Genomic DNA, 17178 nt, shown 5'->3' with positions numbered 1-17178 from the left:
TCTGTGTGAGAAGGGTTTGCTGGAGGTCCTGGTGTGGACCAGCCTGTGTTATGACCCTTGAGCTTCCCTGGTTTCCGACACCATCTTTACTGTCCACGTGAGCATAGCTGCTGTCCAGGGCCAGCCCAGCACAGGCACAGCAGTGGGTGACAGTCCCAGAAGGGGATCCCCCAGTTGGCCTCAGGGTCTCTGAGTGTACCAGGTCAGCCGGACCCAGAAAGGGCCAAGGAGGGCTGGTCGCTGTTGGTTGCAAACTCCTGAAGCTGCTTTTGACGTGTGGTGGCACCTGGGCTGGAAATTGGAAAAACACGCGGGTTCGTTTCTGGACCCACAGTCCGCCTCGCTCTTTTACTTTAGAAGGAATTGCTCCAAGCAGAGTCTACACAGGTTTCCCCTGTGGCTTTTCTTCAGAGAGCGTGTTGACCCCAGCTAGTGTCACGGTTCTCACACTGTGATCTCAGGGCCGTTGACATTCCCCAGGATTACGGAGGACCTCAGAGAGCTTTCCCTTTTGAAACTCACTGTTGCAGAGTCCAGACACAAAGTGGATCTTAGAAGTCTAGAATGTGAAGCTGACTTTGGGTTGATCTGGAGGTAGTGATCCTTGGAAAATTTGGAAATAACCTGGCAAATGTCACCTCGTGAGCTGGCAGCGTTTTGTGACAAAATGACAAAGGCTGTGACAGAAGGGTCCAGACTGACCCCTGCGACGCAGCCAGGGAAGTGGGACAGAGAGGGATGGACAGCTGTCCTGCAGGAGGCAGCCTGACCTGAGAGCTCCCCTTTAAAAACGTTTGGTGAGGAAGGGCCCCTCTCTGGCTCGCCGTTTGTAGTAAATGAGCTGGGCTTGTGGGCCTGACCGTCTGTCTTGCTTGGGAAAGGGGAGGAAGCCCCTCAGCCTGGCTTCCCCAGCCCTTCTGGGAGCCAGCACTGTGGGTGATTGGGTTTTCCCAGGGTGAGCGTCGGAGCCTGTGGGGCTGGTGCCCTGTGTGTGGGGTCTGGTGGGCCTGTCCACCTCTCAGTGGAGGTGTGGAGCGGCCCCTCAGTGAGGACACGCAGTGGGGGGTTTTCTGCCCCAGCCCAGGAGTGAACGGCGAGGCTAGTGGGAGACAGGAGCGTGCTCCTGCAGCCCAGTGCCTGCACCCAGGGCAGTCAGGGATGGCGCCTTCCTGGGTCACACACTCCCCACGCTTGTGGGTGGTCCCCGCAAACCCTTGCCTGGCCTTGTGGGCATAGCAGGAATGACCCCTGCCTCGCTGAAGCTGCTGCTCTCTGCTTCCTCGGTCTATTAATAGGGACCCAAGTCTGAAAAGAAGAAACGCAGGCGGGGCAGAAAAGAGGAGCCCGAAGGTGGTAGCAGGCCGGCGTGTGGGGGAGCTGGCACCCAGGGGCCTGTGCAGCTGGTCAAGGAGGTGGTGGCCGAGGATGGCACCGTGGTCACCATTAAGCAGGTGCTCACCGCGCCAGGCTCGGCGGGGCAGCCCCGGTCTGAGGACGAAGACAGCCTTGAGGAGGCCGGCAGCCCCGCACCTGGGCCGTGTCCACGCTCCAACGCCATGCTGGCTGTGAAGCATGGGGTGCTCTACGTCTATGGGGGCATGTTTGAGGCCGGCGACCGCCAGGTCACCCTCAGCGACCTGCACTGCCTGGACCTGCACAGGATGGAGGCGTGGAAGGCCTTGGTGGAGATGGACCCAGGTGAGCCAGGCAGCTTGGTGCCTCCGTGCCCGGGAGCGAGAGCCCACGGTCGTGTGTCGCGTCCCTCGAAAGCAAGCCCTGCAAGCTGCCCAGAGGCGGCCTGTGCCGACACTTCTCGCCTGTGCTCCTGCCTCCACGGTCAGATTGACGGAGAACAGGACCCTGTTGTGGAAAGGGGGGCCCACCCTGGGCACGTCTGTCCTTTGTCCCGGGTGCTGACGGGAGCTGCGGCTCTGGCGGCACAGGACACGGGTGCATCTGCTGCTCCGTCCACAGCATGCTTGTTTGTGGATGGCCGTCCGAGCCGGGCCCCGAGGCCCTGGGTCTGAGCCTCCAGCCTTGCTGCCTGACCCAGGGCCCCTCTGCTGCCGTAGTCACACGTCCCCTTTACCCCAACTGCTGCTGGGATCGAGTCACCATGCAGTTTTTAAAGATCTGAGACTAAAGCAAAATCCACAAATCTAGGGAAAGGTGGTGAACTGTTGGCACAGGATGTTTGCTGTTTTGTGAGAACACCGTGAGCCGGGGTGGAGGGTGGCAGGAGGCCCCGTTGGCCAGCCGCTCCGTTATGGGGGTGCTTTTGCATGTTTGCCGTCTCGGATCTCTGTCCTGAAGCCCAGGGGAACGCAGTCTGTTTCCTTTGTGGATCTGAAGGGGGTCGGGGAAGAGGAGTTAGGTTTCACATTATGGTTCTTAAGAAAATGGAATCCCCCCAGGACGTAGCCACCACCGTCCCGCAGCCTCCCCCACCTGCCTCAGCTGCGCTGACGTGTATGTGCGTTCATTCTGCTTTTGAAGAAACTCAGGAGTGGCTGGAGGAGACGGACTCGGAAGAGGACAGTGAGGAGGTTGAGGGCGCCGAGGGTGGGGTCGACGACGAAGACAGCGGAGAGGAGAGCGGTGCGGAGGACTGAGGTGAGCGGGCTCGGGCTGGCGGGTGGCGCGGCTGCTGGGTGTTCGTGAAAGGCTTTTCATGTTTATCGGATGCTTATTGGAATTCAGCTTTGTAAATTTTTTAAAAACGTTGGTGTGTGGAGTAATTTGGGCAGCTTGCTAATGAGTGCCGTGTGCCTGTGGGCTCTTTGATGAGGTCTTCCCTGAAAACCCGGTGTTCTCTCTACCCCTCCTGCACGGGCCTCCCCCTCGGCTGAATGTGTTTCTCTCTCATTCCTTCCTCCTTGCGTATCAGAAGAGCCCCTGCCAGGGGCGCCTGGCAAGTGCTGTGCCCACGTCCGCCCAGGACCCAGCCGTGTTGAGTGAAGCTCTTGGGGCCAGCGTGCGTCCTGACGCACAGGAGAGAGCTGAAGGTGGGTGGCCCAGGCCAGGGTGTGAACTTTCTCCCATGGTTTAGTCTCTGACGCGGCACTGGGCCGGAAGTTCAACTGAGTGCAGTGCAGGTGGATTCCCTCAGCAGCCTGTGTGTTGTGTGAAATAAATTGGACTTGAAACAAGACCACCGCGGAGGGTGTCTTCTGTGTGGCCCTAGGCACACCGCAGTCTTCCCGGGGCCTCTGCCCCGGGCCAGGGCTGGGCCTAGGGCGAGACCACCCCACACTGGAGGGTGGAACCTTGGACACGAAGGACCCTCGAGAAGCAGGTTTCTGTGCCCGAAACCCCGGAATATGCTGTGCTTTGTGAGCCTTTCCTTCTGCAAAACCAGAAGAGGGCCCTGACTGCCCATCCATATTCACACTTGGGATCAGCCTCTGATGCCTGAAACTGAAAAGCAGACCAGGGCCAGTGCACACCTTCCCGGTTCTCATTCACGTGAAGCACCGCTGGCTGGCTGCACACGGGGGTCTCGTGGTGGGGGCTCCTCGTGTGCAGCGGCCTCACTCCTGGGAGCCACCTGCCGCCGCGTGGTCTCTGGGAGGCTGTGGTGGGACCATCCCTGTCCCTGTCCCAGTCGGGTTTAGGGTTTAGGATTAGCATTTGCAAAGCGACAGGAAGGGAGGCTGGAGGGCGAGGGCTCCCAACGTCCCCACATGGCTGCCACCAGGTGTCCCCATCCAGCTCCTCCTGGCTTCAGCGCTGCGGCCTCCTTGCCCCCGAAGGCTGTGGTGCGCTAACTCCCAACCTAGGCCTGCTCCAGTCCAAGACTGAAGGCCAATTCGGATTTGCATAATTGGGGTCAAAAGTTGAGCATTGAAACCACACCTGGTGCAGTTTTTGTGTATCTTAAATATTTTGAACAGTGGGAATATAGGATCCTTAGTTTTCTATAACGGGGCTGATGACATATTCACTATGGTCCCATTTCTTATCTGGGAGTTGAAAACAAGGGTGGTGGGGAGACTTCCCTCCTGGCGGAGCCGGTGCTGGGCGGGTGGAAGCACCGCTGGGAGAGGGCTAGAAGCTGACTTGGTGGCGAGCCCCTGTGAGCACCTCCCCGCTCCCTTGGCCTCTTCATCCTTACGGCTCCAGGTGGGCCCAGGAAAACCCAGGTCACCTTGGGGCGATGGCTTGAGAAGTGTCGCCTCTCAGGATCATCTCAGGGGCACTCGGCCAGCTCTTGCACAGCAGGGCACGTGCTGAGCTCCCTGGTGCAGCCGGGTGTTCAGGAGGCCTCGGTGGGTGGCACTTGAACTGGCCCCAAGGGCCCCGCCCACTGCCATCGGTGTGACCTCACTTCAGGCTTCCATTGTCACTTGACACTTGATGGGAATGCTGATCAGAAAGGGGAAGGCTCTGGGCACTGCCTCTTCCCTGGTGGGGACACCTGTCTGGTGCGTCTGGATGTGGGTGGCAGTGCTGACAGGAGTGAGGCTGCAGGTGCCGCCCCCCTCGAGGGCTGCAGCTTGTGTTTGCGTTGTGCCGGCCCCCTCCGCCGACCCCCCTGGAGGCTGCAGCTTGTGTTGTGTTGTGCCGACCAACCCCCCCACGCCGACCCCCCCAAGGGCTGCAGCTTGTGTTTGCATTGCGCCAACTTCCCCCTCTCCGAGGGCTGCAGCTTGTGTTTGGGTTGTGCCAGCTCACCCCCCTCCCCGCCACCGACCCCCTCAAGGGCTGCAGCTTGTGTTTGCATTGCGCTGACCCCCCCCCGAGGGCTGCAGCTTGTGTTTGCATTACGCTGACCCCCCCCCGAGGGCTGCAGCTTGTGTTTGCATTACGCTGACCCCCCCGCGAGGGCTGCAGCTTGTGTTTGCTTTTGCGCCGGCAGCCCGCCCGCCCCCCGCAAGGGCTACAGCTTGTGTTTGCGTTCCGCCGACCCCTCCTCCCCTCAGGCTGCAGGTTGTGTTGCCTTGTGCCAACCCCCTGAGAGCTGCAGCTTGTGTTTGTGTTGCACCGACCCCGCACAGGGCTGCAGCTTGTGTTGCGTTGCGCCGGCTTTGGCGGCCGGTCTGGGCACTTTGTCTGAGTGCTGGGCAATCAAGGTCCTTTCCTCACACTCTCAGCTAAGCTGGTTGGAAGAGGCTCGGACAGGGTTGAGAAGCCAGAGCGCAGGCAGCAGCGCCCCCGCCCCCGCCCCCGCCCAGGCCCTGCCCGGCTCTGCGGCTCCAGCCCTTGTCCAGAAGATGGACGCCATTGTGTGGCCGGTTCTTTCTTCCCTCCTGCTCTTGGAGGAAGAAGAGGAAATATCTTGTTGGCTTTCAATGTAGTTGTCTGTTATGAGAGACAGTTTTTCTTTCAGAGGAGCTTGTAACTGATTAGGTGGGATTCCAAGGAAAAAGAGACTTTTGAATCAACCCAGTTGAAAGAAAGATGACAGCAGCCCTGAGGAAGAAACTTCTTGTACACTTTCTTACACAGAAAGCATTTTGCTTTTGTTGCTAAAGATTTGGTTTGAATGAAAGATGCTGATCAGAACCAATGGGGATCAGATAGACAAGCTCCCAGCATGGAGTGGCTGTCACGGCCGTGATGAAAACAGGGCCCCTTCAGTGTGGAACCGTGGGAGACGCGGAACACAACACAGGGTGGTGGATTCCTGGGCGGAGCTCTGCCTGCCCCACGGGCCTGTGGTCTGCTCTGTCTGCCGGGGCCCAGTTTACCGAACTACTTGGTGGCCAGATAGCCACCGTAGGGCGTGAGCGGCCGGCACGAAAGCCCAGGGCCTCTGTCTCCCGGGAGCTGCTGGCGCGGCGCGGCTGGGACACGCCGTACTCGGTGCCACGTTCTTGCCCAGTTCCTCGCTGTGGTGAGCTGCTGGCTGTTAGGAAGCCTTTCCCTCGGCTGCGGCCCTCCCACACGGCCCCCAGACCCCTGACTGCAGGGTGGGCGGGCGTACCAGGGGAGGCACTCTGGCCGGCCCGCTTGGCAGCAGGGCCACAGCTCCTCCTCGCAGGGCTTTGTGGGATTTTAAAGGATGAATCGTCTTGTTCTCCATGCTCCCCCTGCCGCCCATGCGCGCCATGCTCTGTGTGAGGATGAATTGGAGGGACTGGCCATGAGCGGTGGCTTTTTTCGTGTTTGGGGTCGGGAGGGTGTTGGGTGGAATGAACATCAAGGGAACCACCCATTGAGCTTAGAAATTCTTGCCAGGCAGTTGGTTTGTGTTTGTGTTTAGATGAGAGCAGTGTTGATTGCAGTTTGACATCTGATTTTTTTTTTAATTGAGTTGGTACAAGCAGGATGTCATTGGCTAGGTGACAAAGTCACTGGGGGACCAAATACCAAGATGCCCGTTGGTGAGAGAGACCCTCCCCAGGACCCTCCCCAGGCGCCTCCTTCTCCGTGACGTTCAGGACCCTCCCCAGGCGCCTCCTTCCCCGTGACGTTCAGGACCCCTCCCCAGGGCCCTCCCCAGGCGCCTCCTTCCCCGTGACGTTCAGGACCCTCCCCAGGCGCCTCCTTCCCTGTCATGTTCAGGACCCTCCCCAGGCGCCTCCTTCCCCGTGACGTTCAGGACCCTCCCCAGGCGCCTCCTTCCCTGTCATGTTCAGGACCCTCCCCAGGCGCCTCCTTCCCTGTGACATTCAAGACCCTCCCCAGGGCCCTCCCCAGGCGCCTCCTTCCCCGTGTGGTTCAGGACCCTCCCCAGGCGCCTCCTTCCCCGTGACGTTCAGGACCCTCCCCAGGGCTCTCCACAGGCGCCTCCTTCCACGTGTCGTTCAGGTGACGAGGCGAGACCCCGCGCTGGACGTGGCACTCGGGTGTTGGAGTGAGGTGGCGGCGCCGTGTGCTTGATGGTTTCCATCAGAGAAGAGTCAGCCTTCCTCCAGAAGGAGCGGGGGATGGTGGTTCCCCAGCCCGGAAGGAAAAGGAGCCGAGCTCTAGCTGTGATCACGGCCTCAGCCTGCCTGCCTTTGTGCATGGAAGGAACTTGCTAGTGACCGCTGCTCTCCTGGGCAGTGTAAGAGTGTTGTGTGGAGGCCGGGGGCGCTGGAGGCCAGTCTCGTTTTCATAGCCCAGATGGCTCCCGGCGCAGGTTGCAGTCACCTCCATTACTCTTTCACGAGAGAGCTGCAGCAATGCCATCTGGGGCCTGGCCACACCTGGTCACTGGTGTCCCGAGGCACACAAGCAGTCCCTGCCGGAAGCTGACACACTGTCATGGCCAAGGGCCACAGTGCAGGTACCACGGTGACCCGGCTTCCCTGAGTCCAGCTCACGCCCGTTTTCCTTGTCTCAACCTTCAGAGCCCTTCCAAGCCCCCACTGGCTGCAGCCCACCCAGGGGACCCACCTTTAGAGGCTGGACTCAGGCTTCACTGAGGGGTGAGAAGCGCAGGTTTACAAAGCTCTGGCTGGGAAGAAATTGAGTAACCACTCCCTGAGAAACAAACGGAGACGTTTAATTACATGAACGCACACATTTTAAAAACCGCCTGTGCACTCCCGGAGGGCAGAGCCTGCCTCTCTGGTTATTTTTGTGTCCTCCATTCACTTACAGGCTGTGACAAACCCTGTGCCCACGCTGCCTCCACTGCCGGGAGACTCAGGGCTGGGGGAGACATGCCCTGGTCACCACTGCGGAGACTCAGGGCTGGGGGAGACATGCCCTGGCCACCAGTGGTGAGCCAGCGAGACAGGACCCCACGCGCGCTGACCCGGGGACGCCATGGAACTCACTCGCGATTCCTGCACGCGCGCTGACCCGGGGACGCCATGGAACTCACTCGCGATTCCTGCTCACAGCACGTTTCCTGCTCGAAAACCAGGAGAGCCTCCACGTGCCGACTAGCTCTGTCCACACATCCATTGCGCAGCTCTGCAGCGGAAGGACCTTCAGTAAAGACGCTGGTTTGTAACGAGAGAAGCGTTCCAAAGTGTCACACGACATTGTTTATTACTAAAAGGAGCAGAATTTCTTTTTAATCTTGACAGTGTTGTTTTCGTAACAGTATGATTTAAACTGTTACATTCATTTAGGAAAACTTTTTTTCATTTCATAAGTAATCAAGCTATCTTTCCAGCTTAAAAGCAAAGAAAAAAGGCTCAGGGTAACTTTTTAAACCACTTCATCAATAAGAAAAGTTCTCTCTGTCATTGCACGGCGTGATTGTACACAGTATTAGCAAGCAGTTCACATGCGCCAGGGCCGACTTGGAAGGAAACACAGGTTAACACTGTTTCCTGTCCGAGTTCACAGAGATGTTTGCAGCAGGCTCAGTTGCTTTGGCAGCTGGAGCGAGGGTGCCTCTTCCGCGTGGCTCCCCTGAGCAGAGAGGCCCCTGTGGTTTTTTTCTCCGCCGGGCTCTGGGGACAGGGTTTCTGTGGAAATGGCAAATGGTGCAGATGAGCAGAGTCCTGCTAGAGAGGTCAGCTCAGCGTCCAGGAGGGGGCGCCTGCCCCCGAGGAGGCCACGGACATGCCTGGGAAGTTGCTGCCGGAGAAGTGTGCTCTGATGTGGCTACATTTGGGGACGCGGGCTCCCCAGAGGCCCAAGCGAGAAAGCCGGGGGTTCCCAGGCTGGGGGTGCAGGACGGGCCAGGCACTGCCCTGCAGGGCCCGCCCCCCTGCCCCTGCACCCTCACACCCATCTTCCTCTCTCAGCCTGACCCCAGGGCCTGGGAGCCCCCGGCAGACCGGCCCTCCTTGCCAAACAGTGGCTGCCCTTTATGGACTCGGCGCCTGGCAGAGCCACTGTGGAGGAGGAGTTGGCTGTCATGGTCAGGGGAGGCAGCCCTTGGGTTGTCAAGGTTGGTGGTCAACGTTGAACCCATATCTGCTGGAATCTCCCGGTCTGTTCCACACACGATCATGCGGGAAGCTCTGGGACCCGAAGGCTGTTCTGATCTCGGGGGTCACAAGTTCTCACAGCAGCCTGGGGTCACCAGGGACCAGACCCGGCGTTAGCCTCTGTAAGGAGCTGCCTGGCTGCTGGGCTGAGCTTTGTTGCAGGCCCAGGAAGATGACCAAGAAGGACAGAGCAGAGCCCCATCTACCACTGCTGGGAGGGCCCGAGGGAGCACGTGCACAGCAGAGCCCCATCCTCCACTCCCTGGGCTCGAAGAGGCTTCCTCGGTGTGGATGGCAGCTGTTAACGAGCAGTGGTGGTGCAGCTGGAGGCCTCTGTCCCATGGGGCACAGACGGGAGAAGGATGGCGGACGGGTGTGCACGCTTGGGAGGACGGGCGGGCGGCATAGGCCTGAGCAGGTGGCATGGGCGCACGAGAAGGGTGTGTCTGAGACAGGATGTTTATCCCAAATGCCAGGAGTGGACGAGGCGGACGAGTGGCAGTGAGGTAGGCATGTGAGGTTGTTGCCTGGCCCACTCTGCCGACCCCAGAAACCCAGCGGCCTGGGCCCAGCACCCGGCTACACATGGGGTGAGCTCACGCCCACACTGTGGCCTGTGCCCGTCACGGGGCTGCTTGCTTCTCCTAGGCTTGGGAACAAGCTGGCATGAACGCTGTGGCCGCATTCACAGCTCAGGCACTTCCACTTTGGGTTTCATGAAGAAACAGACTTAAAGAGCATTTGTTCCTAATGGGTGGGCTGAAGCTTGGGAGGAGCATTCAGCTTCTCTCCACAGTATGGCTTCACCTGTTCCTGAGCGCCCTGCTACCCTCTTGCTAACCTGGGTGGCTGAGGTCCTCTGCTTTGGTGGCGTTGACTTCCCGTCTGCAGCCAGCGCCAGGTGCCAGCCCCCGCCTCTGCTCATCGGGAAGCGCTGGCCTGCAGGTGCTTTGTGGTTGCCACGGACCCTTGTTCTGTCCCTTTCCAGCACCCACCCCCCACGCGCTGTGCATTCCGTAGTTCATTTTCAAGGCAGGGGGCACATGGTGAAAATACAGCCTGGCTTTTTTTCAACAAATGCAGCTGCACTCTTCCTTGCTTGTTTTGAAGGCTGAGCCAGCAACCTCCTTGGCACCTGGGGACAGTCGCTTCCTCAGTTTCTGCGTACCGACTGCCTCACCTGACACGCGGCCTGGGCGCGAGAGAAGCCAACCAGGTGCCTGAGTTGACTGACTCCTTCCGCCCTCCAGCTTCCTCCCTCCGCCCTCCAACCTCCTCCCTCCACCCTCCAACCTCCTCCCTCCGCCCTCCAACCTCCTCCCTCTGCCCTGCAACCTCCTCCCCTCTGCCCTCCAACCTCCTCCCTCCGCCCTCCAATCTCCTCCCTCTGCCCTGCATCCTCCTCCCCTCCGCCCTCCAACCTCCTCCCTCCGCCCTCCAACCTCCTCCCTCCGCCCTCCAACCTCCTCCCTCCGCCCTCTGCCCTCCTCCCTCTGCCCTCCAGCGTTCTCCCTCCTCCCTCCACCCTGTTTCCTCCCTCCACCTCTTCTCTCCTCCCTCCACCCTCTTCCTTCTACCCTCTTCCCTCTGCCCTCTTCTTCTGCCCTCCTCCCTCCACCCTCTTTCCTCCCTCCTCCCTCCACCCTCTGCCCTCCTCCCTCTACCCCCTGCCCTCCTCCCTCCGCCTTATCTGGAATCGGGGTCTTGGTCCTGGGCTGGAGGCAGACCCTGGCCCGGGCGAGGTTAAAGGTACTGCAGGAGGGCGGCATCATGATGTCCTGAAGCTTGTTGCGCCCGGTGCTGTCGGCCGGCTGAAGGCAGAAACAGTCACAGCACCTGCAGCTATGGAAGGCGACGACTGAAAATCTAATAGGCACCTTGATGTCAAGTTTCCAAGACCAAAGGCAAGAACAGTCAGATCAAACTTCGGAAGAGTCAGAGAAAGTGAGCATGACCTAGAGGAGGGAGACGGTCCTTCCGCTGTCTCCTGCAGAGCGTCTGTCGCACGTATGAGGTGAAATCCGCACTGTCCCATGAAGACTGTGAGGGGAGTTGCCACCCGCACACGGCCCAGGAGCGCCAGCAGCTTGGGGACCACCACAGGCCTCAGGGTCTCTTCAGTCCGACGGGTCCAGCTGTCGATAAAACCTCCCGGGGAAGGAGTAAAGGACAACCAAGAACCTGAACTGCAAAAGTATGAAAAACATTTCATTTCCCTCGAGTTCTCCACACTTTAGGTCTGCAGCGCCTTGGGGGTGACTGATGGCCCTCCGTGAGACGCGGTGGCCATGTGCTTCTACAAGTGAAAAGGAGCAAGTGTGGTTAGAGCCTGGAGTATGGACGTCCCGGGGACCGCTGGCCCATGGCCTGGCTTGGGGCCTTACAGGGGAGCGAGCTGAGTGAATGCAGGGGAGGGCCCGTCTTTCTACAGTGTGTATCTTGTTTTTGAGACAGACTCACTCTGTCGTCCAGGCTGGAGTGCAGTGGCGCGATCTCTGCTCACTGCAACCTCTGCCTCCCGGGTTCAAGCGATTCTCCTGCCTCAGCCTCCTCAGTAGCTGGGATTACAGGCACCTGCCACCACGCCTGGCTAATTTTTGTATTTTTTTTTTAGTAGAGATGGGGTTTCACTATGTTGGTCAGGCTGGCCTCGAGCTCCTGACCTCAGGTGATCCACCTGCCTTGGCCTCCCAAAGTGCTGGGATTACAGGCATGAGCCACCGCGCCCGGCCCTGCCCTGCTTTTCTACATCACCACTGTCTTGTCAGTTAGCTCGGCTCAGGCATTGCATGCCTGATCTGTATCTTTGGGAATCCTGTGAGGTAATGGTTCTAGATCCAAAAGAATGGATAAAGAGACTGTTTCAGTTCCCGAAATTATCCAGGCACATTCTGTGCGCTACTGAACTTCAGAAAGCACCAGTCCATCCAGTGTGCAGAGGCTGGTAAGTAAAACAGGCCAGCCGTGGGCACAGACAGTTTCACCAGAGGCCCCGGGGCAGAGGGTCTTCTCCAGCTCTTCCAGGGCGGGGCTCATCTGTTCCTGGGCCAGAGGTGGACCTGTCTGCAGGCTTGTAAGGGTGGGGAGACGCCAGCCTGGCCCATGGGCTGTCCACACCCACCCCCCGCAGACCGCGCTGCTGTCTGCAGGGGATGCCACCACTTCCTCCTGGCCTCGGGTGCACAGGTGAAACATGAAGAAGCTATTGGGGCGGAAAATGGCTCTCACCAGGCTGCTCTCGGGTTAATGAAAACTCGTCAAATTCTCCATGCAGCAGCAGCCAGCCGGGCACATGCTGTCCTGCCCTGCCCGACTGTGTGCAGGGAAGCAGGTCCCCTGGGCCTGGGCGGAGGGACTGCGTGCCTGTCAGGGAAGGCCGAGGCTCCGGACAGGCGGGAAGCAGCCTTCTGCTTAATCACCCCATGTGGAAACCAATTAAAGATTCGATTCTCTCAGACCCGGGGCATTTTAGCCTTGGTTGAATCCTCCTGGAATTCACAGGGAAGTGGCTTTGCCCTCTGCCCTCGCTGCTGGAAGGCAAGGGGCCGTTCTCGCCTTGGTTTTCTAGGTTGTGTTGCGGCAGGAGCTGACTGCCCCTAGGCCTAGATCTCTGCACAACTTCGCTCAGGGACACCTGCCTCTGTGCATGTCTCATGGTGTGAATGTGTTTCCTGCTCACAGGTACCGTTTTGTGTCATGCAGTTACTGGAATGTACAAAAGCAGCTGTGATCTTTGTGAGAGCTGCACAGAGCAGGAGTCTGAGAGCTGCACAGAGCAGGAGTCTTTATTTGGTTCACTTCTGGTCTGCAGCAACCACTTGCTACTAAAAGATGGAAAAGATGTACAAAAATGTCACAGCCCTTTAGAAAGCGACATTATCAGAAATGTATGACCTTCAGTCCTCCCTCCCTCTCCTATGCCCCCACCAGACCAGGCGGCGAGAAGGAACAGGGAGTGAACATGTAACGGAAAACAATAAAACTGAATTTAACTGGAACATGCTCTAATCTTTAGTTTATTTCTGGTTAAAAATATAGCAATCCAGTGCAGTGTAGTAAAGAAGTCTGCTCGAAAGGTAGCAGAGAAACAGCTAAACATAAGCAAAGCAAGGCAGAGTCCATAAGACGGGCTGGCCCCAAGACGACCGGATGGGGAATCCCTGCAGCGCCTCCCCGGGCACAGGGGTCCTGCGTATGGCCGTGCCCGGACCCCTCAGGCACGTCCATGCACACGAGAGCCAGGGCCAGGGGGCACTCGGACATCCTGGCAAACCTTGTTCTTTTGTTTGGGTGATGGAGCGACCCTGGTGGAGAAGGCAGAAACATAAGGAACCTGTTTTTGTTGGACTGAACAAGTTACATTGTACATTTTAGGGGGCTGGATATGCTACAGTTTCTCAGGAAGTTTCAAGCCACTGGGTTTGAACCGCATTCCTGTCCTGGGACCAGGCCCACTGTGGTGTAGCACTGAGGCATCTGGAAGGAATATGCATATCTGTTAGGGGAAGTTGAGGCAGGCACAGTACAGAGATGTGAAAACCCGTGGAGATCAGTAACCATGGGAGAAGGCGTCCTCTAGGGCCCTCACTGCTGGGGACACGGAACCCCACGCGTCCACCCTGCACGCCAAGCGCACACACCCAGAGCCCCGGCGCGAGCCCAGCTCCACGGCACAGCCCCCTTGGCTTCCGTGCTTAGCTGAGCCCAGGCGGATCGGAGTGGGCCCCGGCTTCCCTGGGGTCTGGTGGGGGAAACAGCCGAATGGGACCCACAGTGAGTGGGCAGCAGAAGAAAAGGGCTTTGCTTTAAAACTCGGTGTGGGGAGTCGGCTTCTCATGGAAGGCCGGGGGCAGTGCCGAGAAGAGGGAAGGACCTGCATCCGTCTCACAGGGAGGAGGTGGCCGATCCCTCCCCCTCCCTCAGGTGTGCAGCACAGATCTCACACAGAAAAAGGCCAGGCTACTGCCCACTGGGGTGGGCCACCCTGCCCCATGCCTCCTGCCCATACTTGTCACCCGTCTGTTCTAGACAGAGAAAGCAGTGAATCCACTTTCTAAGCTCGTGTCGACGGGAGTCAGCCCTGCCACTCAGGGGCCGCGGGGCTGAGGCTCTGCCCCGGGCTGCCCTCCATCCACACCCAAGACGGGACGTGTGACCACGAGGACAACGTCCGCTGTTACCACTGATGTGCCGGGATCCCTTCTGTCTCCACGTGGAGCTGGAGGGGCTGCGTGCTGGCCTCCTTCTGCCATGCCACACAGCAGAGTGTTATACAAGCAAAGAATTTTGGCTAAAATCCAAAAAACATTACCCAGAAAAAAAGGCAAACTGTGAGTGATACCCAATCGTGTGGTTCTTCTGTGAGAGGACTTGGAAGTCGCTGGGCTGTCCGAGTTGCGGTCTTTCCCTTCTTGTGGTTTTGCTTTTAATTTTAATGTCCCTTTTTTCTACCCTTTCTCTATTTTTGCTACCGCGACATCTCATCAGATGAAAAAGTTAATAAACAGAATGGCGACTCCGATGTTGAGCAAGATCACCATGACCACCAGGATAGGCGCTGAGCCCTGGAAGAGAGCGAGGGGAAGAGGTGAGCGACAGCTGCGGGGGGCTCTGCCTGGGCCACCACGCCTCCCACCCACGTCTTTTCACCAAGCTAGCAGACCCTCGGGGGTGGAAGCGTACGGGAGGATGTTAGAAACGCTTGGACACCAAAGGCCCACCAGAACCTGAGCTCCGTGAAGTCCAGACGCGGGAGAGAAGCCCCAGCTGCCTGTACGTCTGAGGTTGCTGGTCCTGGAATTCCCTTGGAATTCCCTTGTGGCCCCGACACCCTGAGTACCAGCTCTCCCAGGGTCCCCTTGGAGAGAACCACCCAGGCCTCCCTGCAAGCAAACGTCTCGGTGCGTGTGGCCTTTGTGCCAGTCAGCAGGCTTCTCCTGCCCTGTGGAACTGGGACCTCAGAATCTCAGAAGGGCCCGCATGGCTGCCATGGCCAGTGTCAGATGCAGCCCAGCAGAGAGGCCCTGGAACTCAGAGGACTCCCAAAGTCCGTGAGCACAGTGTCCTCAACAAAACCCCCCCTCACCACACCTTCCTCAACAAACCCCTCACGCCAACTGGCTCTGGAGGACTGTGTCCAATTGCGAGCTGCCTTGGATTTAGGTTATGGTCCTGAATGCTGCTGCCACCACCTCCCTGAAGTGGCTCACAAGTCCTCAGCCTCCGCCGGAGCCCCAAGTGCCAGACTCCCCCTTCAGCCGCACAGCCTGGGCACTCGGACCAAGCTGCCACCTTCCCTGTGCTTGCCGGGGCCAGGTAGGACACGTCTCACAACAGAGCCTTTTCCGGGGGCGCCCTTCTGCAGTGATTCTTGCAGTCCTGCACTCTGCTGTGTTCTGCTCACACCAGGCAGGGGGAGAGGGAGCGTGGCCCCTCTGGGAAGCTCCCAGGACGGCAGGGGTGGGTGCTGCCCTACAGATACAGTACCTGCTGCACAGGGAATGGACGCCTCCTGGACGGTGGCCCCAGCCCAGGAATGGCTGGGACACCCACTCCAGTCTTGCCCACAGTCTGCTTCCAGAGGACACTTGCCCCTGCCTCTCCCCACCCCCACCACGCCCTGCATCTCGCAGCCACCTGGAAGGAGATGTAGACCCCACTGTGGTAAGGAGCTGTTCAGAGCCCCCGGAGCCCTCCACTTCCTACCACGCAGACATCCTGCTGCTGTGCGACACAGATGGACCAGGGCTTGTCCTGAAGGTCCCAGGATGCACATTCCTCAGGGATGGCTACTCTCCTCCCCCTCCCTGTTAACAGACTGGTTTTCCATGGACTCCTTTAAGCCCCCAAGTCTGGCCTCTGGTCAAATTTCAAAGACATGATGGGGTGGTCTGTTAAGACTGAGTAGCTCATGTGGCACCAGGTGAGGGCTGCTCAGGCCTGCATTAAGGAGGGGAGCCCGAACAACGGGCCTCCCCCTTCCCCCCACCCACAACGAAGCAGCTGCTGCTGGCTCCTCTCCCAGAGACTGGAAGAGAATTGATGAGAACACCGGGGACCCAGCAGTTCCACTCCCAGGCCTAAATCTAAGAGGGCAAAGTCAAGCCTCCACTCAAAACCTTGTGTGTGCACACACTCCCGGCAGCAGGATTCACAACAGCCACGGAGTGGAAGCAGAGCCAGCTGTCCAGTGGAGGATGAACACACAGCGGGGAAGACATGGGCCGTGCAACCGCGGCTGCCACAGAGAAAGCGCAGGAGCAGTGCATGCTGCGTGAGAAGCTGGGCACCAGGCAGAAAGCAGAGTCCGGGAGCTGGGGGAGGAGGGGACAGCAAGTGCCTGCTCAATGGCCCTGAGGTTTAAGGTGATGGAGCTGATCTAGATAGAATTGGGGGTGATGGCTGTATAACTGGGAATACACTAAAATCCCTGACTTGTACACTGTGGCCACCTGAAGTGAACAGTACACGCTTTCTGTCTCAGTAAAGCTACGCAAAGAACAGCAGACATCCCGCATGAAGTCAGCTCTCCAGGGCCGCACCATGGGAGCTATGGGCTGGCAGTGGCCGGCTCTGCTCTTGACACACAGGAAGGATGCAAACTCAGAGCCCCAGTGGGGTCACGGCCTTGCCCGGAGAACTCCCTCTGGGGATGGCAGCCTGCCGTCCCCTTGCCTAGCCTGGATGCCACATCCCGCGGCAGCGAAGCAGCCTCCTGCTTGACCGTCTGGCCCGGGGACCCTTTTGTCTCCTGGGTCAGTTTCATTCTTTCCCCAGGCTGTGCTCCTGATGAAGCAGCATCGTAGCTGATGTTGAAGGGCCTCACGCCAGCACCTAGGCTGGTCTTCCCTGGGTGCCTGCTTGAGCACGTGGCCCAAAACAGCCGTTGCATGGGGCACTCAGAACCCACCACACCCTCGCCCCTTCCCAGCCCGCCACCCTGTGGCTGAGGCCCTGTGCCTTGAGCAAGCTGCTGCCCCTCCTCCTCCTGGTCCAGTTCTGCCCACACCTGGGTGCCCACCTCCCCTCCCTGTGGTCTCCAGGAGCTGCCCCCAACATGCCCTGGGCAGCAGTGCTCATCGTAGCCCCGTCTGTGGCCTGGACAGGCTCTGACCACTCCTGCGTTGGCACAGCTTCCTCGGGAGGCTCCTGCCAACACCACTCGGCACGGTGGGCTCAACACGGCAGCGGCAACGGGTGGGAGTACTTGCCTCTGCCTGGCCCGAATGGCGGTTTTCCATTTGGATTTGGGGATGAGCAGCCAATGAGCCTATCTCATTCCCGTTAACGTGAGAGAAACATCCAGACGCTATCCTCAGGTCTCACACACCCCCGCCGTGCTCTGCACCACACCTGGCAG

General features: G+C 59.0%; 2 protein-coding genes and 1 long non-coding RNA gene across 17 annotated transcripts in view, besides 8 other annotated features; 2 read left to right on the top strand and 1 right to left on the bottom strand.

Moving 5' to 3' along the window:
- The window catches only part of KLHDC4 (kelch domain containing 4), a 67841-nt gene extending 55024 nt beyond the window's left edge, over positions 1-12817 (top strand). For 8 of the 14 annotated variants that reach the window (NM_001351938.2, NM_001184856.2, NM_017566.4 and 5 more), the window contains 3 exons: positions 1296-1698; positions 2497-2613; positions 2888-3151. In NM_001351938.2, the coding sequence (NP_001338867.1) occupies positions 1296-1698; positions 2497-2612 (519 nt within the window). In that variant the 3' untranslated portion in view covers position 2613; positions 2888-3151. Of the gene's footprint in view, positions 1-1295; positions 1699-2496; positions 2614-2887; positions 3152-7530 lie in introns of those variants that run through there. The other 6 variants (NR_147833.2, NM_001184854.2, NM_001351937.2 and 3 more) reach the window with 2 other exon arrangements.
- Positions 1471-2078: an enhancer, noted in NCBI's record as "H3K4me1 hESC enhancer chr16:87742491-87743098 (GRCh37/hg19 assembly coordinates)". NCBI's record gives its function as "activates a minimal SCP1, AML or CMV promoter by ChIP-STARR-seq in naive H9 embryonic stem cells {active_cell/tissue: H9 hESC(naive)}" and the evidence as "EXISTENCE:reporter gene assay evidence [ECO:0000049][PMID:30033119]".
- Positions 5121-5728: an enhancer, noted in NCBI's record as "H3K27ac-H3K4me1 hESC enhancer chr16:87738841-87739448 (GRCh37/hg19 assembly coordinates)". NCBI's record gives its function as "activates a minimal SCP1, AML or CMV promoter by ChIP-STARR-seq in naive H9 embryonic stem cells {active_cell/tissue: H9 hESC(naive)}" and the evidence as "EXISTENCE:reporter gene assay evidence [ECO:0000049][PMID:30033119]".
- Positions 5729-6338: an enhancer, noted in NCBI's record as "H3K27ac-H3K4me1 hESC enhancer chr16:87738231-87738840 (GRCh37/hg19 assembly coordinates)". NCBI's record gives its function as "activates a minimal SCP1, AML or CMV promoter by ChIP-STARR-seq in naive H9 embryonic stem cells {active_cell/tissue: H9 hESC(naive)}" and the evidence as "EXISTENCE:reporter gene assay evidence [ECO:0000049][PMID:30033119]".
- Positions 6988-8187: an enhancer, noted in NCBI's record as "BRD4-independent group 4 enhancer chr16:87736382-87737581 (GRCh37/hg19 assembly coordinates)". NCBI's record gives its function as "activates an origin of replication core promoter dependent on BRD2, P300/CBP, MED14 and CDK7 cofactors, and independent of BRD4, by STARR-seq in HCT116 cells {active_cell/tissue: HCT116}" and the evidence as "EXISTENCE:reporter gene assay evidence [ECO:0000049][PMID:35650434]".
- Positions 8223-8472: an enhancer, noted in NCBI's record as "active region_11327". NCBI's record gives its function as "activates an Ori minimal core promoter by ATAC-STARR-seq in GM12878 lymphoblastoid cells {active_cell/tissue: GM12878}" and the evidence as "EXISTENCE:reporter gene assay evidence [ECO:0000049][PMID:35858748]".
- Positions 8593-8652: a silencer, noted in NCBI's record as "silent region_7840". NCBI's record gives its function as "represses an Ori minimal core promoter by ATAC-STARR-seq in GM12878 lymphoblastoid cells {active_cell/tissue: GM12878}" and the evidence as "EXISTENCE:reporter gene assay evidence [ECO:0000049][PMID:35858748]".
- Positions 9203-9252: an enhancer, noted in NCBI's record as "active region_11326". NCBI's record gives its function as "activates an Ori minimal core promoter by ATAC-STARR-seq in GM12878 lymphoblastoid cells {active_cell/tissue: GM12878}" and the evidence as "EXISTENCE:reporter gene assay evidence [ECO:0000049][PMID:35858748]".
- Positions 12279-12338: an enhancer, noted in NCBI's record as "active region_11325". NCBI's record gives its function as "activates an Ori minimal core promoter by ATAC-STARR-seq in GM12878 lymphoblastoid cells {active_cell/tissue: GM12878}" and the evidence as "EXISTENCE:reporter gene assay evidence [ECO:0000049][PMID:35858748]".
- The window catches only part of JPH3 (junctophilin 3), a 96322-nt gene continuing 91950 nt past the window's right edge, over positions 12807-17178 (bottom strand). The window contains exons 5-6 of one of the 2 annotated variants that reach the window (NR_073379.3): positions 14161-14383; positions 12807-13123 (exon numbers count right to left, since the gene is read on the bottom strand). Coding sequence is in view for 1 of the 2 variants with exons in the window: in NM_020655.4 (NP_065706.2) it covers positions 14303-14383 (81 nt within the window). In the remaining variant the exon portion in view is untranslated. Of the gene's footprint in view, positions 14384-17178 lie in introns of both variants that reach the window. The other variant, NM_020655.4, reaches the window with a different exon arrangement.
- Positions 14822-16326, top strand: LOC100129215 (uncharacterized). The gene has a single exon (XR_109334.3). It is a non-coding gene; the product is annotated as an uncharacterized LOC100129215 (long non-coding RNA).

The sequence above is a fragment of the Homo sapiens genome, chromosome 16 (assembly GCF_000001405.40).
Source record: "Homo sapiens chromosome 16, GRCh38.p14 Primary Assembly".
Classification (NCBI taxonomy): domain Eukaryota; kingdom Metazoa; phylum Chordata; class Mammalia; order Primates; family Hominidae; genus Homo; species Homo sapiens.
Note: the sequence above shows the minus strand (reverse complement) of the source record. Positions and strands in the feature narration are given on the sequence as shown.